Genomic DNA, 21,708 nt, shown 5'->3' with positions numbered 1-21,708 from the left:
GAATATCTAATTATTAAGTATAAGAGCAGTGTTCTAAAGAGTTTGCCTGCCTTTTTTAAATCTCAAACTGATGATATAATTTCGACTTAATTACAACAAATTAATAAAAGAGGATCAGATTATTTCACTAAACTATTTCTTCAGCTCCTGAATATTATGGTGCCAGGGTAGAGATGTCACCTCAGATAAGTTTTTAAAATCAACTCCAACAATGTAATTCTTTGTGCAATGAATTAGCTTAAAGTCCAAATCTGAAATTTGGTATGTTTGCAAAAATGATAGCTGTTTCTTTGCTTGACTCACCATGCTATTTAGAAGAGTTTACATTTCTTTAAAAACATTTTAGAACAGCAAGAGAACAGTCAAGATTTTAGAGGACAGTATTGAAAAGTGGACCCTGTAATATGCAAATTATCTAAGGTTAGGAGAGTAATTTATTTTCATAATACTATGCTTAAAATACAAAATTATTTTTTGATATATGAAAAGTATTAAAGTAACACATGGTCTGGTAAACTTTAAATGCTAAAATAATGACATTAATACTATTCTACAAGCATTGATCTGTTTTAAATCCACGTCTATCAATAAACTATTTTCACTAGCTATAGCACTTTGTGTTGACCTCACACTATAATGTGGAAAAAATATTCATTTTCATCAAAAATAAAATTAGGAATTGTTGGAATGCTCACTCAACAATACTGATATACCATTTGTAGAGTCCAAGGAAGTAAAACTCAGAGGTAATTGTGCTCTTGGGTAGAGAGATGAGTAAGAGTATTACCATTCTCAAAGAGCTTATCTTTTAAAGAATATAATAAAACAAATTAAATAATTACAATGGTCAAATTAAAGGGATATCATATTAGAGAGCATTTAATTCTTACAAGGAGAATCACAGGAAAATTCCTGGAGGATTTCACATTTATTTAAGTGCCAAAGGATCAATAGTATATGACAGATGAATAGTTTCCCCAAATTAGATAACAAAAATGATTATAACAGAAAATGGCGTCCACTGACCTCATATTATGCATTTATTATTCCTTTAAGTACATCACACATAATGTGTCAATTAATTCGTAGAGCAATCTTAAGGAGATATTATTTGTTCCATTTTACAGGTAAGGTAAATTGAAGTTAAATAACTTACCCAAGGACACGCCTTGTGTAGAAGATAGGTAAACAATATGAACAAGACTATGGAAGTTCTTAAATGTTTTTACAAGAATGTTTGGTTTTTCTTCAGCAATGAAAACTCATGGAAGAGTTAATTTCAAGGGTTCTGGGGCTGGGAAATACGAATGTATTAAAAAGGAATGGAGAAAGACACAGGCTCCAGCTGAAGGTATTACAATAGTAAGTGGAATTGATGATGGAGATCTAAACTAAGGGCAAATAGAAGAAAACCTTATACTGACAGAACTGATCGGGCTTCCCTGTTGTGGGAGGAGCAGTAAGGACCAGAAAAAGAGTCTATGTAAAGTCATACTATTTAAGAAGGTGGTCATGTATCCTTTCGAAAAAAGTTCCCATAAAAATCTGCTTTTAAGTTTTGCAATCTTTAACGTATACATCATTGTTTTAATTACCAGTATTTGGAACCACTTAGCTGTAAGCCAGTACTTATTATATGATCAAAAATGTTGATGTCTTTATAATTTGCACTCCAGAAGCTATTTATGTGAACCTTCTTCTTTTTCTTTTGTATTATCTGCTCTCTTGCTTTCCTTGATCATTGCATGGAATTTATCTCGTTTATCCCTCCTAAACTCCTACTCATTTACTTCCTAAAAGTATTTGAAGTATTTATTGTCCTGTCAATTCTTTTATAATCACTTTGTATCTTTCAGATTCTTTTTTTCCTACTTTATAAATTCATCTCTCTCTTTATTCAAAATCTCCCTTGCTGTGTTTCTAAATATGTGTTTCTCTTTCACATACAAATACCTAAATAATCAGGTCGATTTTGTAGACATCTGGTATTGTATGTTATTTATACTAACGTCAATAAACCAAGTTTAGAAGACTTACAATAATTTTGTTCATTTATCTTAAAGTGATTTCTAAATCAAAATAGGCATGCAAAAGGAACTGAAAATAAAACTTTGAAACATGATTAATTTTAATGTTTATCCACCAGCAGAAAAAATTTAATATGTAAATCCACCAGCAGAAAAAAAATTACCAAAACTAACATTTTACAGATTTTTAGTATCAAAGCACAATACATTTTTCATAGAAACAAATATATCACCATTATAGGTACCATGATATGGCAATATTTATATACAAGGTCATTTACCATTTAAAAAAAAATCAGTGGCAATGGTAATGTAATACATTAGTTCATCTTTGTTCAACTTTTTGCTATTATACTTCCTGGCCTGCAGGAGTATTTGCCAGGATACAAAAGAAAATATGTGACCTCAATTTTAACAGTACATAGAAAGCTCTGGCTGTCCATGCTTAACCCTACATTTACTACATGATCACTAGGAATGTTTTCATACCACCACTCTGACTTTATTACATTTATTTTTAAGGCCATTCCCAAGGAATCAAACATTTTAACAGATTCATTTGGATATTAAAGGATTATTTTATATAAAATAAGAAGTGCAATATCAGAATTTAATATTCTATATGCCTAAATTAACAGAAAAAAACTTTACAGTTATTAAGTGGAAAATTATTTGAGATTATTTGGAGTTGGTAATGGCATAGCATTGAACTGGGGAAAATGTGATAAGGTTTCTTTCAGTTTTAGAGTCGATTATTTTTAAATGCACTAGATGATTTTCTGAGGGCCATTCACATTCAATGTTTAGATTCATTTTATTAGTGGCATATACAAAGCACCATATAATATATGAAACGTAGAACAATCATGACTATGTAATTAACTGTAGAAATAACTGCTAAGAAAATATAGCAATATTTAACACAGGATTTCTAAAACCATTATATTTTCATTACTTTTCCCAAAGCTAATGTCCCATGTTTTATTTTATAGACTTTGTTTATCAAGATTTATATGCATTTGGCACCTTTTTGGGCTGAAAATAGTTGATGTACTCTGTACAGTAATGTTACAGTTTTATACAAAATTCAGAAATATTGCATTTGGAATAGTCTTTATGGTCCTCTTCCAAGTATTCAGTTTCACACAACAGCAAACACTCTGAATGCCTTTCCTCCTGGAGGATTCTGTAAACTGCAAAAAAAAAAAATATATGAAAAGTATATTGATGTCATCTCTATACATAATCCTTCTTACAAATCATGCTTTCTTATGACAGTCAAGAAAGCAGCTCTATGAATCCAGATGGTCAACTTTCTTAGGCTACTATAATTTATAGTTATTGGAAAGCTCGAATGAGGATGACATAACTCTTAACTCTTGGTTCTATGCTGGGCTGCAAGTTTACTAATAACATTTAAGATGTGTAATGGTAATAATAGTAGTCTCCACAGAACTTCACAGATTCTAGATCATGTTTTCCTATATTACCTCCTTTCATTCTAATACAGCAGAGTTCAGCAGCTGTTATTCAATTTTAATGGGGAATACTGAGACTCAGATTTACAACTGATATGCACGGTTACAAGCTAAAAAGATAGCTGATACTTAGGCAATACTCTAGAGCGCTAGCTTATTATCATTGCCCAAGTCTGACAAAATTTAAATTACATTGCTATCATACAGATTAATACTCTTAACATCTATAATTTCAAGGAAAATGTTAGTAAGGATATTTAATGGTCAAATCTGAAAGACCTAAGAATATCTTCACTGAAATGAAAAAATACACACACACACACACACACACACACACAGAGCATTCAATCTCATTTTGAAAGTACTTTTAAATAGAAGTTAAAAGTAATGCAGACTCATAAATTTTACTCTTTATTAAATTGTTTATATTTATTTAGCAACGTAAATCAAGGTATGTTTTGTTTAAATGTCTAAAAGTTAAAACAGATTGGTAGTACCATTAATCATTATTTATTCAAATCAACTGTAAGCTTTTGAAGCTTTTACATAAAGTTTTATTTTCTTAATAATTACAAAAGACTTTTGGAGATCAATAAAATAAATACTAAGAAAGAGACAAAGTGAACTATGTTTTATATATTTATTCATACAAGAAAAAAGGGAGAGAATTTGAGTGAGCAAAAATAAGGGTATCACAAGTGCGCACACACAACATATACACACATGTGCATGCATGTATGCCAGGTTTTTCATGCAAGTAGATGGCCAATCCAAAGCCATTTTATTTATGAGAAACAAACTGACTGAGTGCCTTAGGAAATGAATGTGTTTGGTGTGTTTCCTTTTTGTACACAGTTAAATACTGGAATAACACATATCTCTGAGCCTACAGACTGAATCTGAGCTTTGAGATTTACAAGTTATATGAACTTGAGCACATCATTTAACCCCTCAGAGTCTCAGTTAACATATATATATGTATATGTGTATATATATGTATGTATATGTGTATATAGAAGTGTATATACGTATCTATATGTGTGTGTATATATACATTCACATATATACACAGAAACACATATATACATACACATACACATATGCATACTCACACATATATACAGTCACACACATATACATATACACACATATATACACACACTCATACATATATACACAGACACACACACATACATATACACACACACACACACACACACACACATATATCTCCGGGTATAGGCCTGACATTTCAGGGCTGTCGAAGCTGAGCTAACATACTTAGAGTGCTCAGGAGCATCTAACATCTGGAATATTCATAGTAGGTACTCAAAAATAATTATTATACTGTTTTATTAGGATATCACCTATCGTTTTATAGTTTTAAAATAAATCTAAGAATTACGAGGCATACATAAAACCATATCACTCAGTTTAGCTTATAAAATTGCATATCCAATTTTATAACTCAAAGATCCATTTTATATATTATTCTGTTTAAGGAGGCCATGAGCAGGTTGTAGAAATGTCACTTTCTCAACACTTACCTCTTGATATAGTCTAATATGAAAACAGATAATGCAGATTTGTATTTTTGTGAGGATGACACCCAGATGGTTATGTTGAAGGTAATCTAGATACCCCGTATGACACATCCTTTGGTGTACATGTGTGTGTTCTCCATTAGCAATTTTGAAGAATCCAGGAAATATCTAAAAGTTAGGGATTTTTCTATATACAAATAAATAGGACTTTTAATATTACTTTTATAAGTAATAATGATTTTAAAAATCACCATTGCTTCATTTATTTTAATATTTATTGATACCTGATAAAGTGAGTTACATGAATTTTCTCAAATCACCAAAATATATGACACTAGTGGGTGGGTTAAATAATATGAAAAATGACCTGAAAGAGTTCATTTATATCACACTAGGCATCCAACTTCAAATCAATAAGAGAATTTGGTTCTAGGGAAAATCAGACATTGTTTTTGTCAAATACTTTATCAGATAACTGGATTAGAGAAATATTCTGTGCCTTGCTCACCTAGAAAGAATTAAATATAAAACTAATCTAGAAAATCCAAAAGAGGATGAAAGAAAGTTCCTAATTATAAGACTAATTAACAAAAGAGTAGTTCTGACTTGTAATCCGATTTTCATGTTGATTTTTATAAGCCTGCAGGAGACAGGCACCTCTGGTACTACAGCTTCTCCCATCCCTGGAAGGCTGACTGGTACACAAGTGTGCAAAGGAACACACTGGCTCTGCCACTTAACTTTGAAAAAAATTAAAAATATTCAAGTGGGTCAACTGTAAAGCAATCATGAATACAGTGATAGATGGTATTTAAAAGTATACATACATATGTTTTGTTTTTACCTTTCTGAGAAGATTCCATTCTGAAAAGAAGCAATGTAGGTCTTTCTTTTGTCCACAGGCATTACATCAACATAACCACCGTGATTTCGAACCACTCCAGCATGTACTGCTGCTCTGCAGATACTGGACAGCTGAGAAGGTAAAGAAACAAACTGCCATTATTGGAAATTCCTGCTGGACTTGTCCAGCCTATTCTTCTATTATTAATAGACTGAAGTCGCTGACATCCTGATGTCATGGATAGCCAGTGAGCAGCTACAGGATGAGGTTTTGTGCATAAAAGAGTGTTTGAAACGTCACAAAGTCAAAGCCAATTTGGAGCAAGTCTGAAGGCCAACCTTAAAGGTGACTGCAACGGTAAGACCCCTCCCCAATCTAATCTAGCAAATACCTGTTCTGTCCAAACAGTAGGCTTTAGAGTATCAAAGCAATAAAAAGCAAATTAGCTTCTTTTATCTCTTCTAGGTCCTGTTTGTCATTCTTAAATGTTAGCCTTTGTTCTATACTGGGCTCACTCTGACCAAATGTTCATAGGTTAGATTATTCATCCCTCATGTATGTTCACTTTTGCCTAATACAAACTCCACCATAGTTCTGCATATGACTATGGCCCCTCTTCCAAAATACAAGAAATGGGGCAGTTTTTTTCTTAGTAAATAATATAATCTACACAGAGAAACTTTGCCTAAAAGAATAACCCTAAAAAGAAAAAAATGAAGAATCATCATAGCTTCTACCTAGATTTGTAATGCCTGTCAACTTAGTTTGAATGGTCTGACATGAAATACTAGGAAAGTCCTATGATTACATTGCACTAGTCATATAATCTGAATTGAATGGGATTTCTATGGAGAAGAAAATTGTTGTTTCAGGTCCAATACTTTTGAATTTTTAAAACTACTGAATTCTAAAAGTCAGATCATTTCTTTTGGCCCATTAAAATCTTCTCAAGATTTTAACATTTGCTTTAGTCCAAATGTTTTACCAAAATTTGTCAACAACTAAGTACAATCCAAGGAAATCCAACCAAAGACAATATTTGAACTGTTTCAGTATAAAGCAATCCATGTCAAATGCCCATGGGTCTTTTCTGATCCCAGTGGTGTGTTCTTTTCTTATCTCTATGCACATGTGAGTGATTTAATATGCTTTTTAAAATAAGCATGTATATCTTACATGACCTTGCATTATTACTGTGTTGTGAACTCTAGAGCATCAGTCAGTATTTACTAGATCAGAGTCTGAATGCCAAGCTGTTTAATCCTTTCCATGCTTTTGCTGTATCGCAAAATACCATGTATCTAAAACCTGCATCCTTACTCAAAGACATTTTCTTCAACACTTAAAGTCCCATTGAATTATATTTGCCTCCAATATGGTTCTTAACAGATGGAATTAAAAATAATTCCGTGCACATTTCAGTATTTGTTCTGTTAAAAGGATATTAATCAGCATTTTTCCCAAGGCAACAAAAGTGCTTAGATATAACATTTACTAAGTCCAAGTATTTAATATGTTTTGAGACTATTGTATTGCCTGCAATTATAGATTCAGCAGGCATCCCTATTTGAGTTCAAAGGTCAGAAGACATTTTCTTTTCATACTCAGACTTTTTAAAAACTAATATATGATGAAAAGAATTATCTGTAAAAATAGAATTTTTTTAATGAATGCAGAAATATATAATAAACTAAAAGTTCAAAGAAACAGAATGTACAAGGTCTAGCTCTATAAATGGAAGGAAAGAAAGAGAAGGGAAGGAGGGAGGGAGTCTGGCTGATTGATTCTCACATTTCCATCCTTTATTTGGAGAGATAATGTATTTTGTAGGGCCAGGAAGACTGGCTATTAACGATTGGATCTCTGATTTCATACTTGCTATTTGACAGTAATCTTTATATTTCCAACTTACTCTTCAAAGGACCTATATAAGACACATATTATGCAGCCATTTCACTGAGGGTAGAAAGATAAAATGATCTCAAGATATGAGTTCCAACAAAACCTTAACTCTAGCAAATAGATGACTTTAAAGACATAGAAGTATACAGGATATTTTGAAAGACTTTCACTAGACGTGACTAAAATTAAAAGTTCTCCTGCTTAAAGGGAAAATCTGAAAAGTATGATTTCTTTGGAAATCTCTGTTGAGTTCAGATATGCATATTCCTATATATTTATTAATCTACTTGTTTCAACAAATACTTATGTGCAAGGTACTTGGTTAATACCTGACGTAGCTATGTGCTCTAAGCCCTGTTCAGGCAGAACATGCCTGTCTTGTTCACAGCTTGGCAGACATCAAATTAGTGATCACAAAATGATGAATGAATAACCCAGCTGCTGCCCTTGAGAAACTTACAAACTAATAAAAGAGATACGGTAATAATCATAATACCCAATACAACAGGCTAAGTGCCAAAAGGAAAAAATGAAGTTATAGGGGTTGAAATAAGGGCAACTTCATACTTGGGTTGGAAGGTCCAGCAACGCACCCTCACAGAGAAAGTGGCAATAATTTAGGTTTTGAAAAATGACCACAGTTTTGACATAAAATTTGCAAAAATACTGTATTTCAACAGAGGCAAGAATATAAGCACAAATGTGAAGACTAGTACATTCAAGATACCAGCAGGACTTTTCAGTGGCACATAAGACCAGTGCAAATCTGGAGCTTGAGAGAGACTCAGAATTGGAAAATAACTGCAAAGGTAAAGCTGAACTGAAAAAAATCTTGGTAAGTAAGCTCACCAAGAGAAATAGGTGGTAATGTACATATTCAGGCCTCTTTACATGATCAAATTCCCTTAATATTCTATTGAATATGTGCATAAGACATTTCCTAAATTTGCATTTGTAACTCTCTGGCTTAGAAATCTGTAATGGTTTCTAAGTGTTTGCCTCATAAAACGTAAACTCATCAGCATGCACTTTCAGACTTTGTCTACACACTGATGTGAGCTGGATTCCTCTCTCTCTCAGACTAACTTGGTTGAAGCCCCTTTTCGTTCCGATTTTCAGCAGCTTAGAGACAAAGCTATCTGCTAGTCTGATGTACAGCTCATTGACTCTTAACTCCGTTACTTTGTAAATGTCACTTATCCCACTAGAACACGTTCCCTGATCCTCTTTAGCAACCAACACTAAAAACCTGGCTCAACAAGCACTTAACAGGCCTGGCACCTTGGAAGGCCAAGGCAGGAGGACTGCTTGAGGCCACACCAGCCTGGGCAACACAGTGAGACCCCATCTCTACAACAATAGAAAAAGAGCCAGGCATGGTGTCATGTATTTGTTCTTCTAGTTACTTGGGAGGCTGAGGCAGGAGGATCACTTGAGCCCGAGTTTGAGGTTAAACTGAGATATGATCATGCCACTGAACTCCAGCCTGGGCCATCACAGCTCACATTCCTTGTCCAACCCACTAAAGTCATCTCTTACAACATCCCCTCAACTAGTTCTCTTTTGCATATATTTCAATGTAGCATCTCTATGACTCTATGCTACATTTTAAATGGCCGTTTGGCAGTGAAGATATTGTTTCAACTTTTGACAAATTCTTAATTATCCAGTTCAGACTTCAAATACTAAAGAATCAAAAGAAAAACAAAACACATTTTCCTTCCCAACAATAACTACAGACTATTTCATTATGTGTCTTATATAAAACATATGGGGAGAAAGTGAAGAAAAATTTTGTCAAATAATTATACACTCTTATTGTACATATGGATATTAATTTTTCAGTGATATGGATGTTTAACTCTTCTGAGAACACACATTAACAAAGTCTGTTTCTTCGCTCTGTATATAAATGTACATATACACATTTAAATGTGTCTATACATTTATATATATACATGAATGTTGACAGCTGTATAAATTAGGATACTTACATCAGAATAAACTCGAGTTCCAATTACACGAGCATAATGTGGATTTGCTTGCATACAGTTACGAGGACAGTATACTCTGAAAAAAATAATATATTATATATATATTAAGTAAGCTGGTTACTTAAGTCTTTCTTATTAGTAAAACCACAGATATGCATACACAAAGTAAGCTCAACATTCTAAACCCTACTCATTTTTTCTCCTGAAATAGGTCAATTGTACAAGCCCAAGCAGTAGACACAATTGCTTCTGTTTATCTATCTTTTGGCATAAATGTCATTTAAAAAAAATTAGTTAGGAAGCTTTCTAATGTGGGGATTTGAAGCCAAAAGAAACATCAGAAAGCATCTCAATGTATCTGAGAAGTTGGTACCCAATGTATCTGTAGAATTTAGTAAACCAATAACTTGGAAAATCTGAATCATTGTCTGCCTCATACATCTCATAGATTCTCTTCTTTATATTCACATCTTTGGAATCTCATCCAATTTCATAGTTTTAATTATCATCTTTAAATGGCTAATTTCCAAATTTACATTTCCAGTTGGGAGATCTCTTAATTCCATACTTGAATATCCTACTGCTTATTCAACATCTCCACTTAGCTATAATAAACATCTCAAACTTACCATGTATGAAACCAAATTCCTAATCTCCTTCTCTAGTTCCCAAATCTGTTTCTTTCCGTAGGCTTCCCATTGCAATAAATGGCACCTCCATGATTCCAAGTGCTCAGGCCAGAAACCTTTCTATCCTCAATCCCTCCCTTAATCTCACACCTTACATTCAACCCATCAGCAATTTCCATTGGCTGTACATGAAAACATATCCAAGATCAGAGCATCCCCAAGCACCTCAATCATGGTAACTCTGGGCTCTATCATCTACTGTCTAACTTACTGCAATAGGCTCTTCTATGCTTCTTCTATGGTCTCCCTGCTTCCAATTTGGCCCTCTCCAATCTGTTTTCCATACTTATATTAAAACGTACAAGTCCAGCCAGGCGCAGTGGCTCATGCCTGTAATCCCAGCACTCTGGGAGGCCGAGGTGGGTGGATCGCCTGAGGTCAGGAGTTTGTGACCAGCCTGGCCAACAAGGTGAAACCCCGTCTCTGCTAAAAATACAAAAATTAGCCGGGCATGGTCCTGGGTGCCTGTAATCCCACTACTTGGGAGGCTGATGGAGGAGAATTGTTGGAACCTGGGAGGCGGAGGTTGCAGTGAGCTGAGATCATGCCACTGCACTCCAGCCTGGGCAACACAGCAAGACTCCATCTCAAAACAAAACAAAACAACAACAACAAATGTACAAGTCCAAACACATCATTCCTCTGCTCCAAATATTCCAGTGGCTTCCATCACATTCAGAGTAAATGACAAGAGCCTCAGGAAGGTCAATAAGCCCTGCATCTTCTATCCTCACTGCCTTTCCAACTTTATATCTTACTCCTTTCCCACTTTCTCACCCTGCTCCAGTCACATGGGCCTAATGGTTATTCCTCAAACACACACAATAGGCTTCTGCCTTAGAGCCTTTGCATTTATCTTCCTCTCTGCATGGAATGCACTTCCTCCAGAAATCCTACTGCCTTACTGATATCTGGTTGGCTTAGCTCACTTCAAAGACATTTCCAAACACTTTTTTTGTTGTTCAGGCTCTAATACAATATGACCAAAAGCTTTTTATTTAAACGTAGGATCCAATTATCAATATTTAATCAATCACATGATATTTTAAAAAATCTACTCTCAAAGTTCAAGAAACTGTCAAATGGCACTTTACTTTTAATCAAGTGGCTCGTCTGCATTCACACACACACACACACACACGCACTCATCACTAAAAGGAAACACAAACTAAAACTGGAAAACACACAATTTTAAGTAGTAAATGAGACTGTTAACATAACTACATGATAATCATTAGTGGATGATAGCATCAACAATTTTCCTAAAAGTATTCTAAATATACTTCAGTTGAAACTACCCTTGCCAATTGAAGCAGATCTTCCTTAACATAGGAAGATCTTAGAATATAACATTTCTAAGAAATAGTTATAGTTTTTATTTCTAAAATTTGTATAACACTGTATATTCTAGAGTGTATATACTTCACATAACATGGAAACCAGAACCATTTAAATATAATAAATCCATCTGAGTTTCTATAACTTTGAATTAAAGGCTTGATTGTTATAAAAGATGCTGTTTGGGGTTTCTGCAGGAAGAAGGGTGTCCCCTTTGACTGGAAACTGATCTTACTGTATTTGAGAACTGCTAGGCATTCACCGTCATCCTTATGGCTGTTAAAATCACTTGCTCTGCATGCTCTGCAAACTTTATCTTGCCCATATTCAGCTGCTGGTTTGTGGAATGCCAAAGTCAGTAGTCCAAGTTGAGTTAGTTTCTACTTAGATGAGTTCAGGTAAAACAAAGATTGGGGGAAGTTTTTTGCTTGTTTGTATTCCAATCTGTTTTTAACAGCTTGTTACATACTACTGAGAAGGTAGGTACTGGTCCGGTAAACTTTTTTTTTTTTTTTTTTTTTACCTACAATTTGCCGGTAAACTTTGAATGAAAATGCTGACATACTTTAATATCTACTTTTACATCTTGAGCATTCAATAAATTTTAAAGATCTAATTGTTTGTAGGTATATGTAAAACTGGATAACATTTCTTATAATTTTTATAAGACACTAAGTAATAATTACTACATAGCCACCAAATGGTTACTAAATAATAGTTAGATAGTTTATTTTGAATTGTTCTACCAGACATGGAAACTTTCAAGGACATGACTTGCAGGAATCTTGTTTCTTCAAGGTCTTCTTGAGCTAATTTCATTAATTTATTTATTGTCATTTTTTCTCCAGAATAGACTATGCCTCAGCCTACTTAAGTCATATGAAATTCTAAAAGAAATATACCAACTACATGGTTCCCTAAAAGTTATAACCTGTCATATAAATAATATCATTATAACCCAGTTTATGAAACTATTACAATTTTTTTTCTTTTTTTTTTTTTTTTCTGAGACAGAGTCTCGCTCTTTCGCCCAGGCTGGAGTGCAGTGGCGCAATCTCAGCTCACTGCAAGCTCGGCCTCCCGGGTTCACGCCATTCTCCTGCTCAGCCTCTGGAGTAGCTGGGACTACAGGCACCCGCCCCCACGCCCGGCTAATTTTTGTTTGTATTTTTAGTAGAGATGGGGTATCATCGTGTTAGCCAGGATGGTCTCGATCTCCTGACCTCGTGATCCACCCACCTCAGCCTCCCAAAGTGCTGGGATTACAGGCGTGAGCCACCACGCCTGGCCAAAACTATTACAAATTTTACACAGGAGAAACAAATGACAATTTTGTTTCACTGAAATAAAAAAAAAGGGAGAAGCTTTTCAGACTACTTAAGGTCAATATTATGCATAAATTGTCATTTCTATGGATTTATTATGTTGGTAACAGTAAAGGCTAAAATGAATTTTAAAAATTTATATCATTTTCCTTATTTCGATGTTTTGCTTTCTGAAACAAGCCAAGAAATAGGGAGCTTGTTTATTAATGCTTTACTTGATTTATCCCTTTTGTAATAATATTGATATAGTTTGTTTTGTAGTTATAAAATTACCCTTTATTGAGCATCTACTAGTGAGAGCCTTTATGTTAGAATGCTCTACAGAGACCCTCCTTATTATTTGGTCCTCATAAACCTAGTCACATGGCTGACATAAGGCTAGGCATAATATTCGTACTTAGTAGGTATTTAATACATATTTATAAATTTAAATTCTAAAGTTCCTGGGTTTTTTTCACATATTATGATGCTAAAATTTACCAGCTTCACCTAGCAATACATCTTTACTTTTTTCTATAAAACTGCAATCTGTAAGTGTAGGGGTCTTGAGAATTCTGAAAAAAATATTTCTCCAAAATTGACTAAGACTACAGAGCAAACAATGATCTAATCAAATATGTGAGCCTTATAAGAGGATAATTAGTCAAGCTCTAGTAACAGGAGATTGTATTTTTATCACAAAAATATTCAGCATATAATTCATTGGTGGTCAAATGGTAAAAAGTATATGATGCACTTCACCCAGTAAGAGGTCCTCAAATTATCCTACATACTTGGTAATCTGCTGATTTCAGCAAACGCACAAGCTGAAGAATTTTAAAATTCTCAATTAGCATGCACCAAGTTAGCTGACCAAAAATATTACAACAGCACTCTTGCATTAGTAGAGACAAATGATTTGAAAGGAAACAGGCTATTTGTATGTGAGGACATTTATTGTTTATATCACATCTGTAACTTAGAAACTGACAGAAAATGAAGTACTCTGTTATATGAAGATCACAGTCTTCCGCTATAAAGATTCCGTTATATACCTTGTGAACAGCCAATCCCATTCTTTAAGTGAAACATTGCTTTCATTTCAAAAGGGTAAGTAATGATGTTTTTCCAAAGTAGATAAACTTTTCCATAAAAATTAAGCTCCTTAAGTTTTTAGACTAAAATGTTTTGTCAAATTACAATGATATCTTTAAATCTCATTACTAGTTTTTAAAAGTAGTGTGGATATTTGCATTAATGGAAATAGTGTGTGTAGAACTAAGACTGGATATATGGAGACATACTTTATTTTTCCTAGCTACTGATTATGGATTAAACCATAATACTTCTAACAGTTTTCATCTTAGCTTGGCCAAGATAAATAAAGCTTTTTTCATTATTTTATAGTATATAAATTCCATTATAATCTTGTAAAAGAGAATATTAAGAAACAAAAATAAAAGAAAGGTAAAGATGGGCTTTTTAACTTACCAAATGCAATCAGATTGATCTAATTTAAAAAACTGGATAATGATGTTAAAATATGAGTTATGCCACTTTAGTTTCTGTTGTAAGAAATTGTTATGAACTGAATGATTTTGTCCCTTCAAAGTTCATATGTTGAAGTCTCAATCCCCAATTTGACTAACTTGGAGACAGGGCCTTTATGAAGGTAATTAATGTTAAATGAGGTCATAAGGGTAGGGTCCTCATCCAATAGGATTAGTGTCCTTACAAGAAGGGATGTAAGAGAGTGAGCTCTCTTTCTCCCTCCACCATGTGAGGACACAGAGAAGGTGGCCATCTGTAGACCAGGAAGAGAGCCCTCATCAGGAACTGAATCAGCCAGCACCTTGATCTTGAACTTCTCAACCTCCAGAACTGTGAGAAATAAATTCCTCATGTTTACACCACCCAGTCTATGCTATTTTGTTACAGCAGCCACAGCAGACTAATAAGGCACTCTTTGTATCACAGATGAACATACAGATTACATGCATAAACCCTGACATTATGAAATAGCAGAGAATACTTTTGCATTTTGAGAAAGTACACTAGGCCTGCCTGGAGTGCATGTAGTTTATGATGTTTCATTGCTCCCTCCTGCTTAGAAGTTCAAGATTATACAACTTTTGAATCCCAGAGACATCAGAATTTCAGGCAAAAACAGTTATCACAGGGCCAAAGCCCCCTATGTGTACACTGGTTTACCTTGGGCAATGTGAAGCAGGCTTATGAAATGGACAGAGCTGTTCCACAGTTGTTTCACAAGTCACAGCCTGAACTGAAGAATTAAAACACAAAACAATGAGTGAATCCTTTGAAAGCAGTAACATACTACACAGTACTAAGAAAATAAGATGAAGAATGTGCTAACCTGTTACTTTAGAGACTGTGAAGGAATTAGCAGACTGATATTTGCTGAAGGTAAAAATACAGAAATGTTAATTATTTTCATATAGGCATCAGCAGCAGCATCATTTCTGGTATCTTTCAAGTCTATGAACACTTAATTTTCTTTTTAAACACTTACTAAAATAGACAAGTAGCAATATAAGAATACATCATCAGTTTTATGCTAAATCCATATTACCATCAGGTATTAACCAAATCAACACCATTCTTCCGGTAATCTCTTTTCATTATTGATCTCAAAAACATATAGATAATAGCATAGAACTATATATATATATAAAAAATATATTTGGTTCCTATCAAAATTAAAACCCTCACATACTAATTTCCTGCCTCCACGGGACCAAACTATTTAGTCTTTCACAACAGGAAATACAAGACAATGTTGTGAAAAGACTACAAAATAATAAGTAACTAAGGGAGCGTCCATTATTCCTTTTTTGTTCCCCCTAGTATCTAGCAAAATTATACAGTAAAATGAATAAACTTCTCCTCATCACATGCATTATTAAAAAGCTGAAATATAAGATTAGGCACATAATTATACATCAAAATTTTAATAGGTTTATATAACATCTATTGCAAAAGGTAAGGCTTATTTGTGATGGTACTTTAACATGGTACACTCTCTGAATACATTAGCTCAGAACTGAAGGTGTAAAGTTTCAACAATTCTTTATTTCCATCAGCTTCAAATTCTGTATTTAATATTCATCATCTATAACGTGTCCAAAAGAAATAACATTCTTTGAGGCATAAAATATACAATCTATTAAATATAGCCTTCAAGTTTCAAGAGAATTTCTATAATAGAGATAACTAAAAAGTAAGAGGAAAAGAAGTAAATAACAGGATAAATGTCCTTTAACAGAACACCCACTGCTTGGCTTACTAAAGCTAATAACTAATATTTATTACTTATTGAAAGTAATAAATGTTTTCCAAGTTAATAGGTTAATTAATGAATATTTCTATAGAACTTCAGGCCAAGTGTGGTGGCTCACGCCTGTAATCCTGGCACTATGGGAGGCTGAGGCTGGTGGATCACTTGAGGTCAGGAGTTTGAGACCAGCCTCGCCAACCTGATGAAACCCCATCTCTACTAAAAATAACAAAAATTAGTTGGACATGGTGGCACGTGCCTGTAGTCCCAGCTACTTGGGAGGCTGAGGCAGGAAAAGTTGAACTTGTGAGACTGTCTTTAAAAAAAATTTTTTTTTTGGCTAAAAAGAGTTATCACTAACAGCTAAAAACCACCCTTCAAGCCTTTTAATAAGACTGTATAAGCCAGATGTGGTGGCTCACACCTGTAATCCCAGTACTTTGTGAGGCTGAGGCGGGTGGATCACCTGAGGTCAGGAGTTCAAGACCAGCCTGGCCAACATGGTGAAACCTCGTCTCTACTAAAAATACAAAAATTAGCTGGGCATGGTGGCACGCACCTGTATTCCAGCTACTTGGGAGACTGAAGCAGGAGAATCGCTTGAGCCCAGAAGGTGGAGGTTGCAGTGACCTGAGATCACACCACTGCACTCCAGTCTGGGTGACACTGCACTCCAGTCTGGGTGACAAAAAACAAAACAAACAAACGAAAAACAACAATAAAAAAAAAAGACTGTATAGGAGATCATTCCACAAATTTTTGAGCGTTCCTAATAGTTTTTATAGTTATTAATTCTAACTTAACCCCACTGTGAAGTTTCATGCAACTGTATTGTAACAAAAGAGACAATGTCAAATTTCCTAAGAAAAGGAGTTCTGTATGAACTTCAGTAATGTTTACTGTTTTACTTAGAGGGAAAAAAAGACACTAAAGAGGTATTTCAAAAGCCCCCATTTTTCTACTTTCTATACGGTACATGTAAAAATGTACAGTGTTTTCGAATAAGGTATTTGGTACACCTAATAGGAGAAACATTAATAAAATTAAATGCTTTTATATTGGGATACTTTTAAATGGACAAAAGAAAGATGACATAGCATAATACATATTTAGAGAACTTTTCAAAATGCTCTTTTCTCTAATGTAATTTATCTTATCAACAAAGTTACTGTTGCATGAAATAAGCCATTTTCCCTAAATAGGACAGGAAGAATATGCAAATTACTTACCCTTCTCAGGGTATTTTCTGTCAAGCTAAAAAATGTATTGCTTTACACTGGGAATTAACTGTAAATTTATACATTTTTAATGAAACTCAAAAATTTGGAGTTTTAGCATGCCCATTAAAAGCAAAAGAGTTCAACTTTGACCTTAAATGCGTTATCTTCTTTTTGTCTAAGAAAACTACAAGCTAAAATGAACCTTGAAAATAACCAAATTCTTTCTTCTTAAATTATTCTATGCTTTGCTCTAAAAAAAAATGTGTTAGCTCACTGTTACAATTTAAAATTATCTGGTCCAAAAGATTATTTTGGTACTTACCCAATTGTTTGAATACCATTTCTATTGGACTTGATGAAATAATGCTTTCTTCCTTGTCTAGTGATATCTACCCAGCCACCATCATTGTCTATTATACCATAATGAATTGCAGCTCTACAGATGCTGGATTGCTTGGAAAAAAGGAGGAGATAAAAAGATGTTAAAAATATTAGAGTTCTGCATAAGTCCCAACTATTTACCACTTATGTGACTTTCAATTAAATAAACATTTCTGAGCAAAATATCTATACTTATGTAAGGTGTTATTTTGCACAATAAAAATCAAATATTACATGGAATGACTCTATCCTCAAATAATTACATTTATAACACTTACCATTTCATAATGTACACTGCCAATAACTTTAGCTTTACTATCCAAACAGCCAGCAGGACATTCGTACCTAAATAAAAGTAATTGGGCACAAAATTTAGTTTCTCTGAATGTCAGTACAAAATAAAAATATTTATTATATTCAATTAATTTTCAAAATAATAACAAATATTACCTATTGCAGGTTGTTCCTTTGCACTGATCTCTTAATCTTACTTCACAAGAAACAATTTGGGCTACAAAGAAAAAAATACCTAAATAACTTAAATAATATAAAAGCAGTTGTAGTTCATTATATATAGCCTAATGACAAAATTTTTTCCATTCTAAAAATGTTCAAATTAATAAAATCTTGATGGATATACCATTTATGTACTTTGAAAATTTTTATAAGTAATATGGAGGTCTTACACATTTGCTGTGCGCTTATGACTTCATTTCTGCTACTATCATCTGATCTTGTCCGGACATGGGTGTCATGGACTTGTGACTGCTGTCGTTCTATTTCATTTGTTTCCTCTTCTCGAGGGGGATAATACCTGTCTGACCCTTCTGTTAGAGAAAGCAGATTTAGGAAATATTAACCCTATTTTACATGTGCATGAATTATCAAATAATAATATACTTTAATACTCCTATTTAACATTTAGAACTAGAAAAATCAGTACTGTTTTTCTGCACAGGTTTTGGCTTAAGGTGGTGATCTTAGGTACTGCAGTGGAATAAATGAACACACATAAGCCTTTAAGTCCTTGATTCATTTATGTTAATGTTCGACTAATATTCAATGAAGCCACTTCTAAACTTTGCTTATATTTCAACATATCATTGTTTGATTTTCATAATGACACCATGAAATCTACACAGTGATCTAATAAGGTCATGGCTTAGCAAAATCAAATTTGTTTTCAATTAAAATCATATTCTTAATATTTTCAGGAGGATCACATTTAGACTTCTCCCAAATGGAAATGTGGCCTAAAGAAGGATTTACATGCCCTTATTATTTATGACAAAATCCATGTCCATAGAGTTTTTTTCCTTTAGAAGAAAATTCAATATGCAGAAATTTAAACTTGAGTATGGAGAGTAATTTCAAACTTTGAATTTAATGTTTATTTCCAGACTGGCCTTTATCAAAGGCTTGACAATGGCACATTTTGGAGAGGTGTATAATTTTGATGCATGCCCAAGAACTCAGAACCTAAAAAAAAAGTATGAAGTCACAAGAAAGTCAGCTTTAAGTAAAAGATAATGGTCACCGGGGAAGAGGCAGGTAGGTTGGAGGTTTGGACACAGAGAATATGAAAAACACCCACACAAGGAAAAAATGCTGCAAACGCTTCTAGGAATTTTAAAATGGCTTACACAACAGAGGGACATATATGGGCACTTCTTGTCTACTCATTTTAGTTAATGCATCATTAAGGGAAAAAAAGACACGTGTCATTATGAGCACTAAAAAAGGGCTGCAATTGTTCAAATATTTCCTAATACACTTCGTCTACATTATTCCTCTTTTAGTCATCAAGAAAAAAGTACAAGGCAGTAAAAAATGTTCACTTGAATGCACAAGTGCATGACTTTTCACAAAGCTTTGTCATAACAGTTTATCTTTATGTGCTATAAACAGGACACCATATTTACTTTTTAAGATATCAAATGCATTTGACAGTACTACTTTTATAGTAGTTTTATGTTACTATTATACTTTTCTTATTATTTTAGCATGACAAATTGAATAGTGTGCAGTGAGAAGTGAAAAATCAACATAATTCATTGAGCATGGTTCAATAAGATACACAAAGGGGTATTTTGTTAAAAATGTTTAAAGCGCTAAAAATAAATTGTGTTAAATTGCTAAATCCTTTAAAAAAAGATGACAGTTATGGAAATAACTCTAGTCAACCATACATCAAGATGACTCTTTTTAAGAATATAAATATACTTGTCATTCTGGGGTAATTTCAAAGTAGAATCAGAAATAGTTACCTGAAATAACCATGGAACTTTAAAAATTTCATATAACAAACTTATTAGTAATATAAATATTTGTAAAAGATTTCTTCAAAATATTTGAAATAGAGTTCTAGATACTTTTCGTGTGATCATTAAGTGCACTTCTGGCTTTTTTAAACATAAGTAATGCAGGAGCTGGATTAAAATATAAATCAACATGAATACCACAACACAATAGCACTTACCTTTGTAGCACAGATTTTCTCTACAGCCCCCTCCAAAACTAGGTGGGCAAGCAGAACAGGGCCGCCCATGTTTGTAAGGGGCATGGCCCCACCAGTTTCCCCTTTAAGAGATGATACGCTCTATTAAAAAGTAGTCTAATGGCATAATTTATAAAACATTGTGAAACATCACTATATATGAACATTCTAAGTAATTATTTTGGCGTATAGATTTAAGACATTCATATAATTTATTATAGAGCCCTTCTGGTTACTAGGTTTAAATATAAATTACTGCCTCATTTTGAAAATTTACAAAGTAATTTATAACACATATTGTTAAAAATTACAAAATCAAACTTTTGCAGAAAGCCAAACTCTGCCATGGAATATTCACTATATTCCATTTACTTTAATAAAAACACATTATTAAACTTGAATTTGACCCTAAATATGATTGTGTCACATTGTTAACATAATCCCTTAAATGGTCTTTACACAGATGAAAATACATTTCTCAATTAATGTATAGCTGTTAATCTCTAATAAATAACAATTATTCAATATTTATGGATAGTATAGTGAGTAAAACCAAAGACATAAAAATATGGTTCCCATATTCACAAAGATTATACTTTCATATTTCATATCCCCCTTTATGCATTTATTTTATGCATTAGGCAACTACAATTGTTGCCATATTAAATAAACAGAATTAAAATAATACACTTCAGTGATACACACTGAAAATGGGGAACAATCAGGAACGTAAAGGTATTTTCATTTTGTTAAGAAAAATGTACATCTGAACGTAGTGTTTTGTCTACTCACTTTGGGGAGTAATTGCACACCAGGTAGACAGCTTTGGGCCATATCTGCCCCCAGATGTTCATGTTATGACACAAATTAATGGCACAACCGATTCTGTTACTAGTTGCCCACACGACCTATGTTAGAAAAATGAAAGGCTCAGAAAAAGCAGGCTGAAATGAAATAGGACAACACTTCTGAGAGAAAAATGCATAAAATTTGAATGTGAGAAGCCAACGTTTATCATTCAAAATGAACTGAGATCAAATCAAAAAGGGTCTTTTTCCTGAGACCTTGAGTAATACCTAATTCAATTTTAAAAACAGAGCTACAGAAAAATAACTGTGTCTGGTTATAAAATGCAAGCATTTTCAAATGCAAATTTAGTAAATAATTCAAAAGTTACATCCTCACAAACCTA

At 33.5% G+C, this 21,708-nt stretch overlaps 1 protein-coding gene and 1 long non-coding RNA gene across 4 annotated transcripts in view; one reads left to right on the top strand and one right to left on the bottom strand.

Moving 5' to 3' along the window:
• Positions 1-852: 852 nt before the first annotated feature.
• CRISPLD1 (cysteine rich secretory protein LCCL domain containing 1) overlaps positions 853-21,708 on the bottom strand; it is a 50,054-nt gene continuing 29,198 nt past the window's right edge. For 2 of the 3 annotated variants that reach the window (NM_031461.6, NM_001286778.2), the window contains 11 exons: positions 21,309-21,424; positions 20,499-20,599; positions 18,706-18,846; positions 18,470-18,530; positions 18,298-18,364; positions 17,961-18,091; positions 15,498-15,541; positions 15,332-15,404; positions 9,790-9,865; positions 5,894-6,024; positions 853-3,220 (listed from right to left, as the gene is read on the bottom strand). In NM_031461.6, coding sequence (NP_113649.1) covers positions 3,169-3,220; positions 5,894-6,024; positions 9,790-9,865; positions 15,332-15,404; positions 15,498-15,541; positions 17,961-18,091; positions 18,298-18,364; positions 18,470-18,530; positions 18,706-18,846; positions 20,499-20,599; positions 21,309-21,424 — 993 coding nt within the window. In that variant the 3' untranslated portion in view covers positions 853-3,168. The remainder of the gene's footprint in view (positions 3,221-5,893; positions 6,025-9,789; positions 9,866-15,331; positions 15,405-15,497; positions 15,542-17,960; positions 18,092-18,297; positions 18,365-18,469; positions 18,531-18,705; positions 18,847-20,498; positions 20,600-21,308; positions 21,425-21,708) is intronic. The other variant, NM_001286777.2, reaches the window with a different exon arrangement.
• On the top strand, positions 5,954-9,815 carry LOC124901964 (uncharacterized). Its single transcript, XR_007060966.1, has 2 exons — positions 5,954-6,250; positions 8,476-9,815. It is a non-coding gene; the product is annotated as an uncharacterized LOC124901964 (long non-coding RNA).

Source organism: Homo sapiens, chromosome 8 (assembly GCF_000001405.40).
Source record: "Homo sapiens chromosome 8, GRCh38.p14 Primary Assembly".
NCBI classification, from domain to species: domain Eukaryota; kingdom Metazoa; phylum Chordata; class Mammalia; order Primates; family Hominidae; genus Homo; species Homo sapiens.
Note: the sequence above shows the minus strand (reverse complement) of the source record. Positions and strands in the feature narration are given on the sequence as shown.